Here is a 26,388-nt window from a genome sequence, read left to right on the forward strand (position 1 = left end):
TCAAAGAAAAGAATTTTCAACCCAGAATTTCATATCCAGACAAACCAAGCTTCATAAGGGAAGGAGAAATAAAATCCTTTACAGACAAGCAAATGCTGAGATTTTGTCACTACCAGGCCTGCCTTACAAGAGCTCCTGAAGGGAGCACTAAACATGGAAAGGAACAACTGGTATCAGCCACTGTAAAAACATGCCAAATTGTAAAGACCATCAATGCTAGGAAGAAACTCCATCAATTAATGGGCAAAATAACCAGCTAACATCATAAAGACAGGATCAAATTCACACATTAACAATATTAACCTAAATATAAATGGGCTAAATACCCCAATTAAAAGACACAGACTGGCAAATTGGGTAAAGAGTCAAAACCCATTACTGTGCTTTATTCAGGAGACCCATCTCACGTGTAGAGTCATACATAGCCTCAAAATAAAGGGATGAAGGAAGATCTACCAAGCAAATGGAAAGCAAAAAAGAAAAGCAGGGGTTGCAATCCTAGTCTCTGATAAAATAGACTTTAAACCAACAAAGAGCAAAAGAGACAGAGGAGGCCATTACATAATGGTAAAGGGATCAATTCAATAAGAAGAGCTAACTATCCTAAATATATATGCACCCAATACAGGAGCACCCAGATTCATAAAGCAAGTCCTTAGAGACCTAAAAGAGACTTAGACTCCCACACACTAATAATGGGAGACGTTAACACCCCACTGTCAATATTAGACAGATCAACGAGAAAGAAGGTTAACAAGGATATCCAGGACTTGAAATCAGCTCTGGACCAAGCAGACCTAATAGACATCTACAGAACTCTCCACCCCAAATCAACAGAATATACATTCTTCTTGCACCACATCACACCTATTCTAAAATTGACCACATAATTGGAAGTAAAACACTCCTCAGCAAACGTAAAAGAACAGAAATCACAACAAACTTTCTCTCAGACCACAGTGCAATCAAATTAGAACTCAGGATTAAGAAACTCACTCAAAACCACACAACAACATGGAAAGTGAACAACCTGCTCCTGAATAACTACTGGGTACATAACGAAATGAAGGCAGAAATAAAGATGTTCTTTGAAACCAGTGAGAACAAAGACACAATGTACCAGAATCTCTGGGACACATTTAAAGCAGTGTGTAGAGGGAACTTTATAGCACTAAATGCCCACAAGAGAAAGCAGGAAAGATATAAAATCGACACCAAACATCACAATTAAAAGAACTAGAGAAGCAAGAGCAAACGAATGTAAAAGCTAGCAGAAGGCAAGAAATAACTAAGATCAGAGCAGAACTGAAGGAGATAGAGACACAAAAAACCATTCAAAAAATCAATGAATCCAGGAGCTGGTTTTTTTAAAAGATCAACAAAATTGATAAACCACTAGCAAGAGCAATAAAGAGGAAAGAGAGAAGAATCAAACAGATGCAATAAAAAATGATAAAGGGGATATCACCACCGATCCCACAGAAATACAAACAACCACCAGAGAATACTATAAACATCCTATGCAAATAAACTAGAAAATCTAGAAGAAATGGATAAATTCCTGGACACATACACCCTCCCAAGACTAAACCAGGAAGAAGTTGACTCTTTGAATAGACAAATAACAGGCTCTGAAATTGAGGCAATAATTAACAGCCTACCAACCAAAAAAAGTCCAGAACCAGAGATTCACAGCCGAATTCTTCCAGAGGTACAGAGAGGAGCTGGTACCATTCCTTCTGAAACGATCCCAATCAATAGAAAAAGAGGGAATCTTCCCTAACTCATTTTATGAGGCCAGCATCATCCTCATACCAAAGCCTGGCAGAGACACAACAAAAAAAAAAGAGAATTTTAGACCAATATCCCTGATGAACATTGATGCGAAAGTCCTCAATAAAATACTGGCAAACCAAATCCAGCAGCACATCAAAAAGCTTATCCACCATGATCAAGTAGGCTTCATCCCTGGCATGCAAGGCTGGTTCAACATATGCAAATCAATAAACATAATCCATCACATAAACAGAACCAATGACAAAAACCACCTGACTACCTCAATAGATGCAGAAAAGGCCTTCGACAAAATTCAACAGCCCTTCATGCTAAAAACTCTCAATAAACTAGGTACTGATGGAACGAATCTCAAAATAATAAGAGCTATTTATGACAAACCCACAGCCAATATCATACTGAATGGGCAAAAACTGGAAGCATTCCCTTTCAAAACCAGCAGAAGACAAGGATGCCCTCTCTCACCACACCTATTCAACATAGTGTTGGAAGTTCTGGCCAGGGCAATCAGGCAGGAGAAGGAAATAAAGGGTATTCAATTAGGAAAAGAGGAAGTCAAATTGTCTCTGTTTGCAGATGACATGATCGTATATTTAGAAAACCCAATCATCTCAGCCCAAAATCTCCTTAAGCTGATAAACAACTTCAGCAAAGTCTCAGGATACAAAATCAAGGTGCAAAAATCACAAGCATTCCTACACACCAATAACAGACAAACAGAGAGCCAAATCATGAATGAACTCCCATTCACAATTGCTACAAAGAAAATAAAATACCTAGGAATACAATTTACAAGGGATGTGAAGGGCCTCTTCAAGGAGAACTACAAACCACTGCTCAACAAAATAAAAGAGGATACAAATGGAAGAATATTCCATGCTTATGGATAGGAAAAATCAATATAGTGAAAATGGCCATACTGTCCAAGGTAATTTATAGATTCAATGCCATCCCCATCAAGCTACCAATGACTTTCTTCATAGAATTGGAAAAAACTACTTTAAAGTTCATATGGAACCAAAAAAGAGCCCGCATTGCCAAGTCAATCCTAAGCCAAAAGAACAAAGCTGGAAGCATTACGTTACCTGACTTCAAACTATACTACAAGGCTATAGTAACCAAAACAGCATGGTACTGGTACCAAAACAGAGATATAGACCAATGGAACAGAACAGAGCCCTCAGAAATAACACCACACATCTACAACCATCTAATCTTTGACAAACCTGACAAAAACAAGCAATGGGGAAAGGATTCCTTATTTAACAAATGGTGCTTGGAAAACTGGCTAGCCATATGTAGAAAGCTGAAACTGGATCCCTTCTTTACACCTTATACAAAAATTAATTCAAGACGGATTAAAGACTTAAATGTTAGACCTAAAACCATAAAAACCCTAGAAGAAAACCTAGGCAATACCATTCAGGACATAGGCCTGGGCAAGGACTTCATGACTAAAACACCAAAAGCAATGGCAACAAAAGCCAAAATAGACAAAGGGGATCTAATTAAACTAAAGACCTTCTGCATGGCAAAAGAAACCACCATTGGAGTGAACAGGCAACCTACAGAATGGGAGAAAATTTTTGCAATCTACCCATCTGACAAAGGGCTAATATCCAGAATCTACAAAGAACTGAAACAAATCTACAAGAAAAAAAGCAAACAACCCCATCAAACAGTGGGCAAAGGATATGAACAGACACTTCTGAAAACATCTATGCAGCCAACAGACACATGAAAAAATGCCCATTATCACTGGCCATCAGAGAAATGCAAATCAAAACCACAATGAGATACCATCTCATGCCAGTTAGAATGGCGATCGTTAAAAAGTCAGGAAACAGATGCTAGAGAGGATGTGGAGAAACAGGAACACTTTTACACTGTTGGTAGGAGTGTAAATTAGTTCAACCATTGTGGAAGACAGTGTGGCGGATTCCTCAAGGATCTAGAACTAGAAATACCATTTGACCCAGCGATCCCATTACTGGGTATATACCCCAAGGATTATAAATCATGCTACTATAAAGACATATGCACACGTATGTTTATTGTGGCACTATTCACAATAGCAAAGAGTTGGAACCAACCCAAATGTCCATCAATGACAGACCAGATTAAGAAAATGTGGCATATAAACCATGGAATACTATGCAGTCATAAAAAATGATGAGTTCATGTCCTTTGTAGGGACATGGATGAAGCTGGAAGCCATCATTCTCAGCAAACTATCACAAGGACAGAAAACCAAACACCACATGTTCTTACTCATAGGTGGGAATTGAACAATGAGAACACTTGGACACAGGGCGGGGAACATCACACATCAGGACCTGTCAGGGGGTGGGGGGCTGGGGGAGGGATAGCATCAGGAGAAATAACTAATGTAAATGACGAGTTGATGGGTGCAGCAAAGCAACATGGCACATGCATACATATGTAACAAACCTGCATGTTGTGCACATGTACCCTAGAACTTAAAGTATAATAAAAAATAAATAAATAAATAAATAAAATTTTAAAAAAACAGAAATCTATGCTTAAGCCTTCAAGCGCTAATTCTGTGCAAAGTAAGTGCCTCTGGAAAGCACTCAGATAAATTTAATTCTAGAACAAAACTCACAGAGGAAAGTTGCCCATATTATTGATTTGGAAATCATTAGCCATTAAATCATTCATTTTGCTAAATAAATAATGACCAACTTTCTTTAGTCTCCATAAACATCTTTTCATCAACTTTATTAAAAAGTTCTATAAAGTCAGATTATGTTAGGAAGTTTAATTTGTATTATGACCTACTTCTAAACCAAAGTCAAGAATTACTTTTTTACCACAATTTTTAATCTGTGTCATTTATAACCTACATCACCCTTCAATTCTGCTGAGTTTCTGACAAATGTTTGACACTATAAAATAGCCAAAGGTAACTGTTCCAGACATATTGGCATTATCAAAATATACAAAATGTGATAGGGAATAGGAAAATGCTTCATAAATTATAAACCCAAATGTAAATAAAAGAGATTATTATTATTAAAATCACCTCTATATTTAATATTGATGGTATATTAATACATTTTTTAATATAAATTGTAAGTGCTCTGAAATGTTTTTATCGCTCAATGATATTTGAAATTTTTAACTCCTTAGTAGACTCAGATTCTTTCTGTGGTGAAATATTAAAATCAGATTGTCAGAAAATATAATCTCAAGAAACACCAGGGCAGACAAAAAGTCACTGCAAGCCCTTAAAATCCCATAGACATGACTAAGAACAGTACACACACTAGGATGCAGACGCACTAAGAGCATACGCTCAGTTCACTGGCCCAATGACTCCAATAGACACACTGTACTTTCATCATGGTGAGGAGACATTCATTGTGCACCCACCACATAGAAAATCCTCACAGCTTTGAGGAAAAAAGAGTGAGAAGTAGATGTGGTACTCAGAGTTTGAGCCTTAAGTTGAAGAGACCACACACAGCCATAAAAGACACAGGGAGCTTTCTCTGTGCTGCCTGGTGAGAAGCTCAGAGAGTTAAGTCTCAGTATGAAGAATGGACACATGAGGCTGGGGAGAACCTAATATCTGAAGTGAAACTTTCCAAACAGTCTTCACTATGGTTTCACAACTGAATTCCCTGAGGTTCTCTAGAAAAAACTTGATGTATGAGCCAGGTGTGCTCTGGGCGGCTGAGATGGGAAGACTGCCTGAGCCCAGGAGTTTGAGACCAGCCTGGACAACACGAGGAGACTCTGTCTCTGCATTAACAACAACAAAAAATTAGCTGGGCATGGTGGTGCGCACCTGTAGTTTCAGCTACTCAGGAGGCAGTGGTGGGAGGGTCACTTGTGCACAGGAGGTTGAGATTGCAGTGAGCCACAATCACGCCACTGCACTCCAGCCTGGGCGACACAGCAAGACCCTGTCTCAAAACAAACAAACAAAAAAACAAAAAACAAAACAAAACAAAACAAAAAAACCCGGGCCCAACTCCACAGTTTCTGAAAAAAAAAAAAAAAATCACCTACAACGGATTCTAGGGCCACAATATTTCTTAAAAATTCCTAAGAGATTCTAAAGTATAACCAGGAAGGAGAACTACAGAGGTAAGTTTGAAAAAATTGTGAAATCCTAATTGGATCGAGTAAAGGGCAAGATGGTAGCGAGGACAATCATGCAGGTCAGGGGACCAGTGTGAGTGAAGGCGCACATCAGGGTGCCATCGGAGAGCAACAGCCCAGGACAGAACATTCAGGCTATTATGCCCATTTTATAGATAAGAAAATGGAAGCAAAGAAAAATGGAATAATATTCTTCTACTTGAAATCCCTACAGCTTTTGATAGAGGGTTCCTTCAAAATGTTTAAATTCACTCACAAAGCCTTGCATTTCTTCTCAGCCTACTATCGCTTCATCTCTCCACTGGCTGGCCACACATACCCTTCCTCTCCAGGTATTGGAATAGCCTACAAATCCCTGACAAATCATGAAGTTTTAAATCTTCTTTGCCTCTATGAATTTTATTCCCTCTTCCTAAAATATCCCATTTCTTCTTCCTCCAAACCCATCTCTCTATCTATTTCCCCTTATTCATCCTTCCAAGTCCAAGTCAAATATCGGCTGCTTCAGAAGGCCTCTTCACAACACCTTCTCCCTCAGCTGCCACTCTACAATTCCAGTGCCTCTGGGTTTGCCTATCATAGCGCCTGTCACTCACAAATCTGTCTCCCCAACTCTTTTATAAGCCCGTTGAAGGCAGGGACAATGTCTCCTACTTTATATTCTAAGTTCCTAGGACAGGGCTAGCACACAGGTGGCTCGAGGACCTCTCTTTCAGTGAATAATATCCACACAGTTAGAAAGGGAACTGGAAGAGATCCCTAGTCATCTTCAAGTATGTTTCTCCCACTCCCTAAAGCTCCACAAGAGAACGTCACTATTTGCTTTACTTCTCAAGATCATTTTGATGTCTCATCATTTAGTTATCAACTACAACAAAGATGGCTGAGCACTGTAAGGATTCTATGAAAACAGGAGGCCGACTAACCCAGAAATATGCACCTCTCAAGGGCCTAATTGCTTACATACTCAACATTTCTCCAAAAACAGCACTAGAAAATATCAGAAGCCTTAATACACTGAGAAATCAGTTTGAGAGAGTCTACTCCAAGAAAGCAGCCATCTTTAAGACCTTTAACTATGTGCTTCCATTATTTTGCCTTTTTGTAAACCATACCTTTTATATGAGAGGTATTCAAATTCACATACATGTACAAGCATACCTCATAGATACTGTGAGTTTTGTTCCAGACTACTGCAATAAAGCAAATATTGCAATAAACTGTATCACACAAATTATTCGGTTTCTCAGTGCATATCAAAGTTGTGTTTATACTATACTGTAGTCTATTAAGCATGCAATAACATTATGTCTAGAAAACCATGCATATATCTTAATTTAAAAATCCTTTATTGCTAAAAAAAAAGCTAATAATCATCTGAGCGTTCAGTAAGTCCTAATCTTTTTGCAGGTGAAGGGTCTCAATGTTGATGGCTGCTGACTGATCAGGATTGTGGTTGCTGAGGGTTGTGGTGGCTGTGGCAATTTCTCAAAATGAACCAACCTCTGCTAGCTTCATACTTTTCTTCTGTAGCTTCCTTACCTCTCTCAGCCTTCACAGAATTAAAGGCAGTAAAAGGGACCTGTTCTGGATTACACTTTGGCTTAAGGGAATGTTGTGGCTGGTTTGATCTTCTATCCAGGCCACTAAAACTCTCTCCACATCAGCAATAAGGTTGTTTTGCTTTCTTATCATCTGCGTGTTCACTGGAGTGGCACTTTTAATTTCCTTCAAGAACTTTTCCTCTGCATTCACAACTTGGCTAACTATTTGGGGCAAGATGCCTAGCTTTCAGTCTTTCTCAGCTTTCAACACACCTTCCTCACTAAGCTTAATCATTTCTAGCTTTTCCTTTAGAGATATGCAACTCTTCCTTTCACTTGAATATTTATAGGCCATTATAGGGTTATTAACTTGCCTCATTTCAATATTGTTGTGTCTCAGAGAACAGAGAGACCCAAGAAGAAGGAGAGAGATGGAAAATGGCTGGTCAGTGGAGCAGTCAAAACACACACAACATTTATCAATTAAGTTTACATCTTATATTGGTGCAGTTCATGGTGCCCCAAAACAACTGCAATAGTAACATCAAAGATCACTAATCACAAATCACCGTAACAGATACAATAATAACGAAAAAGTTTGAAATACTGTGAGAATTATCAAAATGTGACACAGACATGAAATGAGCAGTGTTGAAAAAATGGTTCTGATAGACTTGCTTGACATAGCGTTGCCATAAACCTTCAATTTTTTATAAAGCACTGTATCTGCAAAGTGCAATACAGCACAGAACAATAAAACAAGGTATGCTCACACTTTATAGACTAAATAATAAAAATATCGTATAAACCAATGTTTGCGAATGTTTTGGTTATTACTTCAGTCCGTTATTACGCCAAATAATAGGTCCACATCCAACCTAGTATTTTCTTAAGGTCTCAGATTCTATCTGTACAAACTACCTTGATAACCATTCATATTTAATCCATGAGCAACTGATGTAAGACAATAAAAAGAAAAGCAAGAAGTAATAAAGAATAATTAAACAGGGAAAGAGAAACATGACTATACTTTTCATATATATTCAATTTCAACTGTAATTGTAATATGTATGGTACATATGTAAGATGTACCATAAATTTAATAATAGCTTTTTGGAGAAGAAAAGAAACATAAATATATCCATAATTGTGATACATGCCCTGATTAGAGAAGGATAGGTAGAAAAACATGCATCTCAGAATTGAAGAAATATGATATACTTAGTAAAAACCTCTAGTGTTCAAGGGACCCGCACAGTGGATAGGGAAGTGGTATTTGCCTCTCCTCTCTCCAGCAGCATGTGAGTACTGATTGATAGAAAAAAACATCTAAAATAAGCTATAGTATCAGCTTTTGGGGGGAATTAGCAGTTCTATTCCCTGTATGCATTTTCCCAAATTTTACTTTACATAGGAACGTGCTCAGTTAACAGACGGCACTGCCCAGGCTTATTGGCAGTTAGAGGTGGCCAGTAATACAATAAAAAGTAATAAGTAATAAAATAATAAGTGCAAGCTGTGGATAGGACTTTCAAGAAAACTGCTTTTTCTTCACCCTTTTCTTCCTCGCTGACATCTGAAATATAGACAAGATAGCTGAAGTTCCAGCAGCCTTTGAATTATGAGATATTCACTAAGGATGGCAGAGCAGAGAGAGGGGGAATTCAAAGGACACAGTCAAAGAAACTATCCTAGAAACCTAAAAAGAAGGAGGCTAAAGGAAAAAAAGGTATAAATTGTAAGCTGTCTTCGGTAAACTTGCATGCCTTTAATTCTTTTCAAAAATTTCCACATGGAAAGATATTCCACCAAGCAGAAAATTCTGAAGATCAAATATGATCTACATTCTATTAAGCATAAAATCAGGAAATAAATTTTATTGAGCATTTTTTCCATTCACTAGGAGAATCACTTTACATAACTAGCCAGTTAAAGATAGGAATGATATTCATCCCTTTAAATCCTCAATTTACGTACAAATCCTGAAAATAGCAGGTTCTCAATAAGTGTTTTAAACAAAATTAATAAATGGATGAATGAACGAATGATGATGTCAAGTTATGCAATTCAAAATTACTGAAAAATTTCTTTTCCAAACTCTTGTTCATTCACAAATTTTTGGTTAACAATGTTCACCTAGAGTTACACACTGTCAAGGGACTAGAACCTTCTCTCTTACCTTCAGTTGTTGGAAATACTTCTCCTTTATTTTTAGCCTCTGCCAATTTTCCAGTTCTCAGCAATACTTCTGCAAAGCTTTCCACTGGAACATGCTGATAGGTGTCATAGGTCCCTTCAGACTACACAAAAGAAGCAGTTTCACTATCTAGTAGGGTGCCTTTTGTCCTACAAACATATGCTTAGAAAACAATTATAGGATGTTATGTTTTCTGGTGACTTGAATAATAACTGCTCACAAACTAAAGCATGTTATTTTATGAAACATTTTTAAACAGATTTTAATCTCATAATGGTCATAATATATACCAAAAAAATGTAAAAACCAATGAATAACATGAGTAAGAACCAAGACAAATAAGTATATTTTCAAGAAAATTTTAGTTTTTGTTTCTACTGTCTACAACAGCATGACAGTTAAATCTATCTTCCTAGACACGCTGTCCTTACCTCAGCGACAAAAGGATTTGAGATGACAGATTCATAAAAAGGATGACACCCTTGTTTCTCTAGATCTTCATTGGCTGTAGTTCCGATTTGATATGCACCACCACATTTTTGCCCCTAAAAAGAAAAAAAGTACAGAACAATGGATAAAAAGAAAGAGAAGGCAAGGAGGTAGAAGAAGTAAAAGCAAGGAAAGAAGGGAGAGAGGGAGGAAGAAAAGGCTGATTTCAAAAGAAACTGGTAATGCCTGCTGCATTTCCCACGACCTAAAAAGAGAGCCAGAGTCACACACATATCCGGCAGAGAATGAAGGATCATAACTACATGCTAAGAGCAGCACATCAACCCCACCCTGCAGTGCCTTTTTCTTTTCCTGGTCACTTTGACATCAATGAATTAGAAACACTGAAGCAATCGATGTTGTTCATATGGTGAGTTTTTATACTACAGTCAGAATAACCACTCGAAAACGTCATCTTGTCTGTGTTGCTGCCCTCCTTAAAAATCCTTTAGTAGCTCTGAACAAGGCAAACAACCAACAGCCGAACAACTAAACTATGTGGAACATCATTTGAGGTTGTTAAATGTTAACTAACATTAAAGGCTAACTTTCCACCTCAACCAAACTGCCTGCTTTATGCATCCTATCCGCTTCTATGTCTTTCTCTCCCACTGTGAGGGTCCTGCCATGCCGACTGCCTGGTTAGATCCTAACTTTCCTTTCAGGCCCAGTTCAGACCTTACCTGCTGAATCCTTGACAGATGGATGCAAGATGATATATGACTGTGTCCCTTTCATGATCCCCATCTCTTTCACAACTACCACCCCACACACGGCTTTGAGACTTGTTACCAGCACTGCAGAGTAGCAAGAACTTTAGTATGCCTAGATTATAGTTAATTATGTTTTGCTCTCTCCAAATAGATTGTAAAGCTCCTTACTGGAAGAGCCAAGTAAAAGGAATTCACCCATTCCTCCAAGGTTTATTGTGGTTACTTTATGCCAAGCATAGTCTAGGGAAACGATGAAGCTGCTGCTGCAAATGATAAAAATTACAGCTGAGATTTAATAGCGTCTCACTAAACGGCATCTTCATTTATCCAACTGTTTGGACCATTGTTCTTAGGTCTCCTCTTTCTTCCACATCCAGACCACCAGAAGGTCTAAAAAATATATCCCATCCCCAAACCAACCTCTTCCCACTGCCTTCATCACTACCATGGTTCAAACTACCCACTTCTCTCACCGGGAGGACTGATCTCACTGTCTCTTTTCTTCTCTTTCTACAGCACTTAAATGAGCATAGTAAAAGTAAAGTTGGATCACACAATTGCATTGCTGAAATTCTCCATAAGCTTTCCATCTTACTCAAAATCAAAATCTATAGTCGTTATCACAGTCTACATGAGGCTCTCAATGATGGGCCTCCCCACCACCTTCTGATCTCATCTCCTACCATTCTCCCCATTGTTCACTCAGCTCAGACCACACTGGCCCCTTTTATGTTCTGTGCAGATGTCAAGTGTGCTGCCCCAGTCCAGGGGAGCTAGAGTTTGTATTTGTTCTCCTTGGTTCAATCATATCTCTGCTCGAAGTGACTCCTTTTCTGAAAAACCTAACTTCTCTATCTTAATCAGAACTTCCCTCCTCAGTATTTACCCACCTTGCTTATGTTATCTCTGTCATGCTTGTTATTACCTGCCATTACATTATTATACAAATATGTATTTTCTGTGTCTCCCTCACTGACATGTTAAGTTCCACAGGAGAAGGGAATTAGACTGAAGTGTTTCTTCACCATATTCCCAGTGATTAGGACATTTGACAGGAAAATAATGCCTAATAAGTATTTGCTGAATGAATGAATGAGATGCACATGGAGTGTTTGTTTGAGGTGAACTGCTAATAGTTGTATGTTTTTCCTCTTTGTTTTCCAGTGTGAGATTAAAGGACTGCAGTATGAGAATGCAGAGCAAACTCAATTGCTCTACTGCCTGCCCTGACTGACTTCCAGAATGGAAGCAAGAATCTGTTCAACTGTTCTCCTTCCTGAGAGCCCCCAGTCTGCCTCCGAGCACTCTTCCTCAACTACCAGTCTGTAGAAATAATAGCAAAAGCAAGTAAGCATTGATAAAATTTTTCTTTTCATCACACTAAATTCTGATATATAAACCGAGCCTTACCTAAATCTCTATTACTGTCCTTTGCAAGTACTCCATGGGAATATATTACATTCTATAAAAGAGATTACTCCCTATCTGATGAGAGGCCTACATTTCTTAAGAGATTGTTTTAACAATCTAGAGAAGATAAAGATATAACAGTGAAAACAACTGAAACATTGCTAATGAATTTATATAAACCATGCAGTTGATTTTAAAAAGAAAGATGCACTGCTTACCTGAAGGGGTCGAAGGTAAGTTAAAGACTTCTTCCACCACTGCCCATCACTGACGGCCTGCAGCACCGCTTTGGTGGTGGTTGTGGTGTTGGAAAGGACTTTCATGGTGGTAGCAGTGGTCCAGCGCAATAGGTCAGCTGAATTGCTACCTGGAACACCTACTTCATCCTGTATTAAAGAAACAAAATAGCAAGGGCAAAAATGCATTACCATAAGAACAGAGAAGACAGTGATAATGTGACTGCTTAAAATGATCAGATATTAAACTTGAAGACAGACACATTTAAAAATCCATCCAACTTTGCTTGTAACAAAATAAATGTTAAAAGAGCACTATCAACATATTGTTCCTCTCTCAATCATTTGCCAAAAAATAAAAATAGAATTGGGAAAAGAGAAAAACCCCATAGTGTATTAAATAATCCCTCAGAAGTACTTATAAAGCAAATAATTGGTATTTTATTTTTTACCAATCTAATATCCTAACCATGAGATACTCATATTTGTTTCCTTGACAATACATTTTGAAGTATTTATTATTTAATTAAGAAATAAATTATTCATCTGAATAATGCCACTGTGACCCAGAAAGAAGTAGAACATTCAGACAATCAACCTTTAACTATTAAAAGGCATGTTTCCCATCTAAACAAGTAGGTAATTAATAGTGTTTGATGGGTTTATAATGTGTACGGTACCTCCTGCCAATCTTGAAGCAATCAGCTGAAATTCTCACTCTCCATTTACTAATCTGAGAGATTCCACGAGGAGAAAATGTCAATACATTAATTACAGTCTTTTAAACAGAAAGGATGAAGACCATATCTGCATTTAGTCAAAGAAAAATATTATTTGTTCTATAACTTCCTAGTTTAGTGTCTATCCACTTCCACTTACTATTTTTTTCTTAAGAATCTCAGTTAAACAGAAGAAAACCTTAAGGCTTAGTTTATCAATACCAATAGCTTGTTGTGATCACAGAAGGATAACGTAATAGCTTAGTTTGGCTACTTAGATCTATATCATGTTATTCATTAAGACACAATGTAAGTAATAATAAAGTAATAAATCATGTAATCAATTAATTACCCGGGCATCATCACATAACAAATACTTAAAACTCACTCTTTTAGATCAAGCTGACAGTTGCCATATATGGTAAGTAGAATTATGGGCCCCCAATGATAGCCATATCCTAATCCCTAGAACCTGTGACTATGTAACATGCCATGGCAAAGAAAATTTGTAGGTGTGATTAACAGTACAGACCTCGAAGTGAGGAGATTATCCTGAATTATCTGAGTAGGACCAAGCTAATCACAAGAGCCCTTAAAGCAGAGGATATTTCTCAATAAGGATCAGGGAGAGTGAGTGTCAGAGATAAGCCATGAAGGAAGAGGCAGGAGAGATTTGAAGCAGGAGGGAACTCAACCCACAGTTGTTGGCTTTGAAGAGGAAGAAAGGGAACCACAGGCCAAAGAATGTAGGCAGCCTGTAGACACTGAGAACAGCCATCAGGCGACATCCAGCAAGATAATGCAGACCTCAGTCCTACAATCATGAGGAATTAAATCTACCAACACCATGAATGAGCACAGAAACAAGATCTTCTCCAGAGCCTCTGGAAAAGAACACAGCCTTGTCGGCACCTTGATTTTGGCCTTGTGTGGCTCTAAGAAGAGATTCAACCAAGTCTGTCAAATTTCTGTCACATGGGAATGGTAAAATAATCAACTGTATTGTTCTAAAGCTGCAAAGTTTGTGGTAATATACAACAGCAGCAACAGAAAACAAATATATTATGTTAGGACACAAATAAATGCATTTATTCTTACTTCTAAAGGGAAAACATATGTAAGCTATATTAACCAATGCTTACAATTTACCCAACTGGCTGTTGTTTAGGGTTGCCCATACGTATTCTAAACCGGTTTGGTCATGCAAAAAAAAAATAAAATTGTTTCTTGTTGGTTTCTCGGGCATTAGAAAGTGCAAAAACCATCAACTCAATACAATATTATATACTATAATTTAATTATGAAAAAAACAACATATAAAAATGAATGACATATAAATAAAGAAAAAAACATATAAAAAGCCTGTATACTATCAGGGCAACAATGCAAAAAATAATTGCTTGAGGTTTGAGTACCAATAAAATACAGTGCCTCCTCCTGGGTTCCAGATTGTGGCATATACTACAGTTTAGTTCACTCAGCTCCACTCAGACCCCCTTACAGATTGTCTTACTGTTGCTAGAAGTTGAGAAGCTAAAAACTACATTTCCTCAATTCCCTTATAGCTGGTGTTCCACACATGAACTCATTTTCTCTCTCAGTTTACATATCTCCTACTAGGCAATGGGGTGACAAAAAGGAGTAAGACACAGGCTCTGCCCTCAAGGAGCTCAGAAAATAGGAAGGAAAGCAGAGATATAGAGAAATAATTACAAAATAATAACAACTTTTATACGAGAGGTATTAACACATATAGAGTATTACCAGAACACGAAGAGAGATCATTATATCCTCTGCCTGGAGGCACGATCACAGAAGGCTTCGCAGAGAAGGTAATCTTTCAGTGGGAAAAAATTGAGAGTTTCCAGAGAACTGGTGAAAATGATTTCAGGAAGAAAATACAACTTAAGAGGATGCAACTTCTGAAACACGGCAAAATAGAGGAATCTTAAGTGACTCAGCAAAGCCACAGAACGCAGCACAGAAAGAGAAATAGCAGGACATGAGGATGAAAGAAGGTAGAGGTAAGCCCAGCAAGAGACCTATAAACCACGCCAAAGAACCTCCATTGTCAACTAGAGGGAAGGGAAAGCCACTGGAAGGCTTTAAACAAAGGGAGTAACAATCAGATTTGTGTTTCAGTAACATTATTCCAGGAGCAAGAATCCAGTTTGGAGACTGCTGCCTCAGTCCCAGCTTAAAATAATTAGCGACTGAATTGAGGTAGTGACACTGGAAACATAATGAAGTTATCACAAGGTATTTTCCAATTAAATGTATATATTACATTTAAATGTTTTTATCCTAATTCATATAAATGTAAAAAGGGCCCAAGATAAATCAGACAAGTAGAGAAATTCCATCCAATCAGCTAACAAAGAAAGTTCAAGATCACCAAGCTGGAACTTAGTGGAGATCTGGGAGAAAGAAAAAAAAAAAATGGAAGGAAAGTCAGTAACAGATAAACTATAATTGTTTGTGAAGCAAGGTTAGATACAGTGGAGGTAAAAAAAAAAAAAAAAAGAAGAGCCGCGCAAGTTGTTGAGGAATACAGAGGACCAGGTTCGTACAGAGAGGAAACAAAGACCTAGATACATTATTTACCAGCAGTAAAGTCCAGCATCTTATTTATAATATATAAGAAACATAATGGCTACCATTTATTAAACACCTACTATATGTCCAGGACTGAGCTAAGTGTTTCATACAAGCATCCCTAAATTTTACAGTAACACTATAAAAGTGTTAAAAATTATAATACTACTTGACACAAAAGTAAACTGAGGAACAAATAAGTTAAATAAGCTGCCTACAGACAACTGGCCTAGAGGTGTCTCCTCCTCTCTTCTCCTTTTTCTTTTCTTTTTTTTTTTGAGACAGAGTCTCGCTCTGTCACCCAGGTTGGAGTGCAGTGGCACAATCTCGGCTCACTGCAATCTCCGCCTCCCAGGTTCATGCCATTCTCCTGCCTCAGCCTCCCAAGTAGCTGGGACTACAGGTGCCCACCACCACGCCCAGCTAATTTTTGTATTTTTCGTAGAGATGGAGTTTCACCGTGTTAGCCAGGATGGTCTTGATCTCCTGACCTCATGATCCGCCCGCCTCGGCCTCCCAAAGTGCTGGGATTACAGGTGTCAGCCACCACGCCTCTCTTCTCCTTAAGCCAATTTGGCATCAAAGTGTTCACTTGTTCTTTACAGGATTTTGACACGCTGGCAATATTACATGCACATTTATATTTGTATTTATTTAAGCTCATTTATTTTTCTGTGTTATAAAACTAATACAAATTCACTAAAGATGGTTTGCAAATTCAGAAAAAGTATGCAAAAGAAAAAGAATACTATTTATTCACAGCCCCATGATGCAAAGACAATTACAGCCAGCATATATTCTCCTTTCCTGTGTTTAATCCATGGTATCCTCTTTAAACAACTTTTCATTGATGTGTAAGCCACATCAAATGACTGTATGGTTTAACATATTTTAACACGCTTATGTAACAAGCCCTTAGGCAAAGAAACATAACACCACCAGAATCCTAGAAGCTCCTCTTGAGCTCACTTGCAGTCACTAACCCTGCCAAAACAAACACTATCCTGACTTGCAGCAGCATAAATTAATTTTGTCTATTTTTATACTTTATATGAATGAAATCATGTACTCTTTTGTTCTGATTTCTTTCACTCAACAAACATTCATTCAGATTTTAAGAGTAGTTAAAGACTGTTCAACTCCACGCCTGTAATCCCCGCACTTCGGGAGGTCAAAGTGGGAGGACGGCTTGAGGCCAGAAGATTGAGACCAGCCTGGGCAATGCAATGGGACCTCATCTCTCTTAAAAAAAAAAAAAAAAAAAAAAAATTGTTCAAGTCATTACTATGTCATATCATGTTGTAATAAACATGCCAGAACTTATTTATATTTTCTTCTATTAATGTGCATTTGGGTAGTCCCCAGATTGAAGATAATACCAATAGTGCTGCCCTGACATGCTGGTAATTATATTTTGGGTATATACTTAGCAGTGGAATTGCTAAGGCATAGAATATACATATGTCCAGATTTAGTAAATAGTGCCAAATATTTTCTAAAGTGGTTATTACACTAGCCAGCAATTGTAAGAGTTCTGGTTGCTCCACATCCACGCCAACAAATGGTATTTCATGTCTTTTTCATTTGAGCAATTCTGGTAATTATGTAATGGTATCTCTTTGTGGTTTTAACGTGCACCTCGCCAGGACTAATGAAGTTGGACACCTTTCTGCATATTTTGGGCCATTTGAACACGTTCTTTTGTCAAGTGTCTGTTTGAGTCTTTTGCCATTCTTCTAATGGTTATCCATCTGTTTTATTCACTTATACAAGCTCTTTATATATTCTGGATACACATCCCTTATTAGATACATGAATTGTGAATACTTGCTATTACTCTGTATATTACATTTTCATTCTCTTAATGATGTCTTGTGATTAACAGATGTTCTTAATTTTAAATTAGTCCAATTCGTCAGTTTTTAACTATGATTAGTACTTTTTGTATCATATTTAAGAGATCTCCAGCCTGGCAACAAAGCAAGACTCCCATCTCCACAAAATAAAAAATAAAAAATTACGCAGGCATTGTGGCACGTGCCTCTAGTCCTAGCTATATGGGAGGCTGAGGTAGTAGAATTGCTTGAGCCCTGGAGGTTAAGGCTACTGTGAGCTGTGATCATGCCACTGCCTTCCAGTCTGGATGACAGGGATCCTCATTTCAAAAAAAAAAAAAAAGAAATCTTTGCCTGTTCCAAGATCAAAAAGATGTTCTAAGTTTTCCTTGACATGTAATATTTTTGCTGTAAGTAAAATCTTAAGACAGTATCACACTTCTACCCACTCAAATATTACATGCATACTATTAATGCACTTACCATAATATATTGATATTTACTTTTTTGTTGTTCTTTCCAACTAGACAGTGAGCTATTCAAGATCAGAGACACTATTTATTCATTGCTATAGCCTCAGAGTATGTGAAAAATCTCTATTGCTTGGATCTATATATAGGTGTAAGAAGTCTGCTTTTACTGTGCTGATTAAATGTTTGAAGATATATTTTCACAGGTCTCATTTGTGGTCAGGTGCGGTGGCTCACGCCTGTAATCCCAGCACTTTGGGAGGCTGAGGTGGGCAGATCACGAGGTCAGGAGTTCAAGACCAGCCTGCTCAACTGGTGAAACCCCGTCTCTACTAAAAACACAAAATTAGCCGGGTGTGGTGGCACACACCACTAATCCCAGCTACTCCGGAGCCTGAAGCAGGAGAATTGCTTGAACCCAGGAGGCAAAGGCTACAGTGAGCTGAGGTCACGCCAATGCACTCGAGTCTGGGCGACAGAACAAGACTCCATATAGGAAAAAAAAAAAGTCTCATATGTTGTATTCAGAGTGGGTAAATGTTATTTAAAAAAGATTTCATGTCACATTTTCAATTCCTGTTCATCTGTAGAATCTTCTAAATTGAGAGGATGTATTGAATGATTTGAAAGTCATCAACTAATCCAAGTATAGAACTGAAAATATAAATATGGTAAGAATTATGGCACTTAAGCAGACTACAACTACATTTAGAGGTAAATGAAACCAATTGAAAAATATCAATAAAAAATGCAGGCTAAGCCAGCACAGTGGCTCATACCTGTAATCCTACTAGTTTGGGAGCCTGAGGCAGGAGGATCACTTCAGGCCAGGAGTTCGAGACTGGCCTGGGCAATATGGCAAGATCTCATCTCTACAAACAATTAAAAAATCCATTTAATTGTTTAAATCTTATATTTAATATTTTAAAAATTAAGTAATTTTTTTTGTGGTGGCATGTGCCTATAGTCTTAGCTACTCCAGAGGCTGATGAGGGAGGACCACTTAAGCACAGGAGTTTGAAGCTGCAGTTAGCTATAATCGTGCACTCCAGCCTGGAGGACTCAGGGGGAAAGGGTGGGAAGGAGGTGAGGGATAAAAGACCACAAATTGGGTTCAGTATATGCTGCTCGGGAGATGAGTGCACCAAAATCTCACAAATCACCACTAAAGAACTTACTCATGTAACCAAATACCACCTGTTCCCCAAAAACCTATGGAAATAAAAAGTTAAAAAATAAAAATAAAAAAAAGAAAAGAAAAATGTAGGCCACAAAACAATGATTCTATTTCATAAAATGGACCTAAACTGTGCTTCTGTCCAAATGGATGGGCTAGCTCAAGATAGGAGACTTAAAATGTATGAAACCTAAAAGTTTGTTTCAGAAGATAAATGAAATTCACATGCTCAGAAATGAATGTGATAAAAGGATTTTCTGTAAGAGCTTCTCCTAATGAGAATCATGAAAGAGAAAGTAAAATGAAAGGCTCATTTGGACCACAGAAGCAACATTTAATTTGGGGGGCAGTCTACCAAGATCATAGTTTAACCAGAAACATTAATGAAGAAAATAGATTTCTTTTAACTTCATATAATGGAGAAAGAAAAAAGAGGTTAGGCAAAACTTACCCCCGAAATGATTACTACTGCCACTTTTTATATTCATAGTGGCACACTGCTAATTAATTTAGAGTGTATAACAGCAGAAATAGATTAAACCTCAAAACCACGTCATTGGTTCCCAGCATAAAATTTAACATGAAATCTCATTAATGTAAAGTGTGTTACACAGCTCAAAGGTTAGCTTATTAAGCACTAATAATATTTTTCAAATCCTGTAACAACAGACACCATCACCAAACAAGTTCACAAGAACATGGATAGTGCCATGTGTCAAGTGTGACTCACAGGAAGAATTATTGTTGGTCAACGACTATGACAAATTATCTACCTGGGAGTAACTTTCTCCCATGTCTGGCAATAAGGGTTAATTTCTGAGAAATCTATTGGCCTACTGTAAACTGAGCTGTTGGCACATATAAACTAGGCAAGGATTACAAATAGTTTAGGTTGAGCTCAACAGCTACCACTCTCCTCCAACATAGCCTTAAATAACCCAAAGTACTTCCCTCCACCTAACCCTTACTTATAGCAAATTTCATCTGAACTCAAAATACTAAGCATGCAATCCTTATTACTGGTTATACTACTTTTAGAAATACCTGTCAGAACAAGCAATAGAAAAATACTCTATGGAGTAAATCACTCTAAAGTCTGACTCTGCTTCATCTCATCTGCCAATTAGCAGGCAAGGCTACAGCTTAGCTGCTCTCATGTTTAGGGACCATGGACTCCTGTACATGTCTCATGGAAGCTGAGCCCTTTCCCCAGAAAATTTAACAAACATGCATGTGCACTCACATGAATACAAACACACACATACACACACACACACACACACACACACACACACACACATCAAATTAGGTATACTGGCCAGGTGCAGTGGCTCACGCCTGTAATCCCAACACTTTGGGAGGCTGAAGCAGGAGGGTCACTTGAGGCCAGGAGTTCGAGACCAGCCTGGGTAAAATATTGAGACCCCGTATCTAAAATAAATAAAATAAAAATTACCCAGGGATAGTGGCATGCGCCTGTAGTCCTAGCTACTTGGGGGGCTGAGGCAGAAGGATCACTTAAGCCCCGGAGTTCAATGATGCAGTGAGTTGTAACTGCACCACACTGCACTCCAGCATTGGTGACACAGCCAAACCCTGTCTCTAAAAAATTTTTTAAAAATCAATATTAAGCATACTATTTCAGGGGATTTAGAGGCCAAACCCTTCTTGGATGTCCTAGAATTCTTAGATCCAGATTATGAAACCTACATTCTGGAAAAAATAGAGGTGTATAAGGTATATTTTTTTTTCCATGCCCAATTTTTAAAATTACTTTTGATAAATGACTTTGGGTTCTAGATGAACCCACAAAGTAAGTTTACTGAACACATAATTTGGCATGCCTACTATGTTTAAGACCCAGCGCTAGGCAACAGGATTACTATGACAATTAAGGTATGACCCCTATTCCTAAGAAACTCATGGTACAGTAGGGAAGAAGGGAAAATAAGGCAATTTGCCTTATTTCACCAATGAACTGAGAAATTATCAAATAGGGTCCCATTCAACTATTCCTCCCCATTTCACAGCAGAACTTACCCCACTCATCACATCCATATCTTACTTTCCTCATTTACTCATTCATTCTTCCACAAATATTTATGACACCAACTTGTGACAGGCATTGTTGTAAATTCCGGAAATACAAAACTGACCAAAATATGAATAGTCTCTGCTACAAAGAACTTACAATCCAGTAAAAGACAAGCAAAAATAAATACAAAGCATGTCAGAAAAGCATGTCAGAAAAGCATATCAGATAAGTTTTATACATATTGATATGGGCTAGAAAGAAAAATAAAGCGGTGTGGCTGGGTGAGAACACCATAATAACACAGAGAAAGAGCAGGGAAGATCTCCATGAAGTGACATTTGAGCAGACACCTGATGGAAGTGAGAGGATAAGTCATATGGATACAGATATTTGGGAAGAACATTCCAGGTAAAATACAGCAAGTAGAAGGATCCAGAGGCAACAGCTTGCTGGGAATGCTTAAAGAATGGCAAAAAGGAAAAAAAAAAAAGCCAATATGACTAGAGTCAGCTAAGCAAAATGAATGTGTATATTGGGGGCAGGGAAGAGGTGGAAGGAAAATAAAGTCCAACATTAAAGCTTAACAGTGGAGAAAAGAGACCATGGGTGTCCTTGTAGATGACTATAAAGCCTTAGTTTCTACTCTGAGTGAAAGGTTTTGAGAAATGTGTCATGATCTGATGTATTCTGAAAGAATCACTCTGGCTATATTGTTGACCATTGACTATAGCAAAAGCAGAAGCACGGAGACAAACAGGACACTACTTTATGACTCTAGGGGAGATATGATGATAATCTGACCTGGGTGGTAGCAGTGGTGATAGTAAAATGGAGCCCAATTCTGAGTCCACTGTGAAAGGTGGGTCAGCACGATGTCCCAAAGAGGAGGAGAAGAATCAAGGATGACAGCAAAAGATTTATGGTACGAACACCTACAAAGAGTTCTATTTCGTGACATGGGAAAAACTGCAGAAAGAAGGTCATTGTTTGGCAAGATGTGGTAGGTGGGGAGAGGAAGAGGGCTGAAATCAGTAGTTCAATTTTAACATATTGAGATTGGGTTGTCTATAAGAAATTAACTATAGATGTTAGGTTGGCAGCTGTACATTCAAGTCCGGAACTCAGAAGAGAGGTCAGGGCTAGAGCTATTAAGCAGGGAATCATCAGCACAAAGTCGATTATTTCAAGTCAGGATAATGTATGAATGCATCTAAGGAATGAGTGTAGACAGAGATGATGTTTAAAGACTATGACCTAGGGTATCTAACATTTAGCTGGGGAGATGAGGACAAACCAGCAAAGACAGTGAGATGCAGTGGCCAGTGAGGTCTGAGAAAAACAAGACGACCGAGATGTCCCTGAAACAAGTATGTCAAATGTTACTTATAGGTCAAATAAAACAAAGACTGAGATTTGACCCACGAACTTCGCAACAAGAGGTCACTGGTGGTGACCGAGGCACAAGCTGTTCTGGTAAAATGGTGACGAAAGAAGGCCCCATGGAGAGTAGATGAAAGATAATGAGAGAAAACAAAAAGATGTTACCAATACTAAGTATAAACTAAAGAAATGTAGGGAACATCTATCAGAGTGGTACATTTTAGACCCTACAGGGCTAAATAATATTATGGTATTTCCTTAAAAGTAAAAGGAGACTGGCCAGGCACAGTGGCTCACACCTGTAATTCCAGTGCTTTAGGAGGCCGAAGTGGGCAGATCACTTGAGGCCAAGAGTTCAAGACTAATCTGGCCAACATGGCAAAACCCTGTCTCTATTAAAAATATAAAAATTAACCGGGTATGGTGGCACACACCTTTAATCCCAGCTACTAAGAGAGCTGATGCTTGAGAATTGCTTGAACCCAGGAGGCGGAGGTTGCAGTAAGCCAAGATAGTGCCAATGAACTCCTGCCTGGGCAACAGAGCGAGACACTATCTCTAATAAATAAATAAATGAATAAATAAATAAATAAATAAATAAAGTAAAAGAAAACTGTTAACACCCATAGATTACACTGTAACTAAGATAGAAAACTTGAATGTCTTATTTTTTGGAAAATGTCTTTTGCAAATGAATTTAAATAGCAATTAATAACTCAATAACAATAGATAAAAAACAAAAATGTATTGCTTATTACAAACACAGTTATTTTAAAATATAAAAAATATATCAGAAATGCACGGGCCTTATGAAGAAACAGCGGGATAGAAGAAAGAATAAAATTCTAACAGTGGTGCTAAAAGAGGAAGCGACTAGTATAAACCTTTGTGAAGAATGGAAATCTATGATGTAGATTTGCCAATCTAATCAATATCATGATTCACACTCCTGCATATCAAGCTATCAAATAAGTAAAGATATTATCCCAGAAGCATGACAATGAGCAAAGTATTTCCTTCTTTGGTCAGACCTATATGCTCACTAAAATGCAGAAATGGATGTTCTGAATTGTGTTGGCACTGTGTTACCATCCAGATCACTGATGTCATGATCACTGTAAACTGAATCTTCCACAGAGAACACTTATCAGGCAATACTGTCCAAAAAACAACTGAACAAAAATTAATGAGGACATACCATGCTTCCAGTGATGTGCTGGTATCAACAGTAAACAAAACAAAGTGAGCATTTACACAAAGTTATAAAAATAAACCACAAGAAAATAGGAAATTACCTATCCCAGGAGCCCATTTCTACCATTTTATTGCAGAGCAACACTAGCATGAATATACAAAGATGTGTACGTAGAATGCACAGTGCAGTTTAGTCTAAAATAGAGAAAAGTTGGACACAATCTAAATGTACAAAAGCAAAGGAAACAATACATAAATCACACAATAAATAAATAAAATAAATAAATCAAAAAAATAAATAAATCAAACAATAAATCATGGTACATGCATCCAATGAATACCATGATGCCATTATGTAAATGGTCTATATGGAATCACAAGGGCAGATTCAATGACACATACCAGTATTACATGAAACAGTAAGCTGCAAAATAATATATGCAGTATGAATTCATTTTAGTTTACAAAACAAAATAATAAACCTCCAGGAGACAGAGGAGAAGCTATACAGAAAATCTGTCTGTACTTAGGAATATGGAAGGAAACATATGAAGTTAGAAATGTTTATATCTAAGCAGTGGGATTCATGGGGCTCAGAAAGATCAGAGAATAGAAAGATCAGAGGGAGGAAAAAGAGAGAACTTTGTCTTTCACATATATTAATGTATTGTTTATTAAATTATTTTTATATTTTAAAAAAGCAGAAAGTATAAAGTTATACATATATCCATGTATCTATTTTATCATAGATGTTTCACATCTAATTTCTTTTACTTTCAAGAAATATAGTGTGCCGGATAATGTCAATATCCCTTATTTCCCTATAAATGAATTATTAAAATTAAAGCTTGCATTATTTCTGTAACTAAAGAAAACATTATAAACTCCAGTCAACATGGGATGGTAAACTCCTGTTTGAGTACACTAACTGTGCTCTAAATACTGAGCACAGAAAAAAAAAAAATCAAAGGACACCCAAGTTCAATAGAGTTCAACATTTTGGGGCTCAGAATTCAGATATCAAGAGTGGCTATCAGGTTCTCCTTTCCAGAGAAGAACCATGAATCAAAAGCATACCCTGCAAAGAAAAAACTTCATCCAGATTTACTGTCCAGGCTATGCATTTACACAAGATGTGGGCCTAAGGAGGAAGAGCACATGAACAAGGCTGAAAGGAACTAGGACAATCCCTTCACTGGCTCCATGTATGCATTCTCATATTCTCAACCTTACAAAGGGGAAACAACGTCATATGAAAAACTATCAGTGGACATATTCTGGAGTGAAGTGCCACAGGACTGAGCAGAGAGAAACCACAATACTACAGAATCATTAGATGAGGAAGGTGGGACAGAATGATGTTTCATCACTCAAAATTAGCTTGCAAACCAAAATTCCAGAGCACATGGGGAAAAATTAATAAAGCAATAATTGTAACAAAAATTCAGCCCAAATAAAATTATTTCATTTAAAACTTCAAAATAATTCATTTGCCATCTTTGTGTGTACTAAATGTGAAATTTAAAATCTACTAAGAAAGAATAAGTATCATAAGATAAAGAAAACAAAACAAACATTATTCTATTAATTTTTATTGTGATATGAGGTAAAGTTCTAATTTCACCTTTTTACAGATGGATATACCTCAAGTCTATACTTATTTCAAAAAAGGGACAACTTATTCTTACTTAAATAAGTAAATAAATAAATGTAAGCACTAAAAACTATAAAACTTTCAGAAAAAAAGCACAGGAGTAAATTTTTGCAATCTTGGGTTAGGCACAGATTTCTTAGATATAACAACAAAAGTATAATACATAAAAGAAAATATTAATAAACAAAACTTCAGGAACATTAAACATTTTTTGTACCTCAAAAGCCAGCATTAAGAAAACAAAAAGTCAAATATACACTGAGAGAAAAAATACTTTAAAATCATAAATCTGAAAAAAAAAAAAAACACTTGACTGCAAGATGTTAAAAAACAAAACAAAATAAAAAACCTCTTACAGCTCAATAAGACAAATAACCAAGTTAAAACATGGGTAAAATATTTGAATACCATTACATTAAGAAAGTATAAGAATAGCCAGCCAATAAGCACATGAAAAAAAAAGAGTTCATCATCATTAGTTACTTGGGATATAAATATCAAACAAATATCATAATGAGATAGCACATATATAGGAATGGCTTTAATAAAAAAAATTCTATCAAAAAGCCAGTTAAAAATAGACTGCTAGCTGAAAGAATAAGAAAAAGAGAGAAGAATCAAATAGACACAATAAAAAATGATAAAGGGGATATCACCACTAACCCCACAGAAATACAAACTACTATCAGAGAATACTATAAACACCTCTCACAAATAAACAAGAAAATCTAGAAGAAATGGATAATTTCCTGGACACATACATACATAATCCCAAAACTAAACCAAGAAAAAGGTGAATCCCGGAAATAGACCAA

The 26,388-nt window shown here is 37.2% G+C and overlaps 1 protein-coding gene across 11 annotated transcripts in view; it reads right to left on the reverse strand.

Annotated features, from left to right (window-relative positions):
• The window catches only part of NBAS (NBAS subunit of NRZ tethering complex), a 782,426-nt gene that overhangs the window by 539,193 nt on the left and 216,845 nt on the right, over positions 1–26,388 (reverse strand). For all 11 annotated transcript variants that reach the window (XR_007076390.1, NR_052013.3, XM_017004317.2 and 8 more), the window contains 3 exons: positions 12,497–12,664; positions 10,098–10,211; positions 9,649–9,769 (listed from right to left, as the gene is read on the reverse strand). Coding sequence is in view for 9 of the 11 variants with exons in the window: in XM_017004317.2 (XP_016859806.1) it covers positions 9,649–9,769; positions 10,098–10,211; positions 12,497–12,664 (403 nt within the window). In the remaining 2 variants the exon portion in view is untranslated. The remainder of the gene's footprint in view (positions 1–9,648; positions 9,770–10,097; positions 10,212–12,496; positions 12,665–26,388) is intronic.

This window comes from Homo sapiens, chromosome 2 (genome assembly GCF_000001405.40).
Source record: "Homo sapiens chromosome 2, GRCh38.p14 Primary Assembly".
NCBI classification, from domain to species: Eukaryota; Metazoa; Chordata; class Mammalia; order Primates; family Hominidae; genus Homo; species Homo sapiens.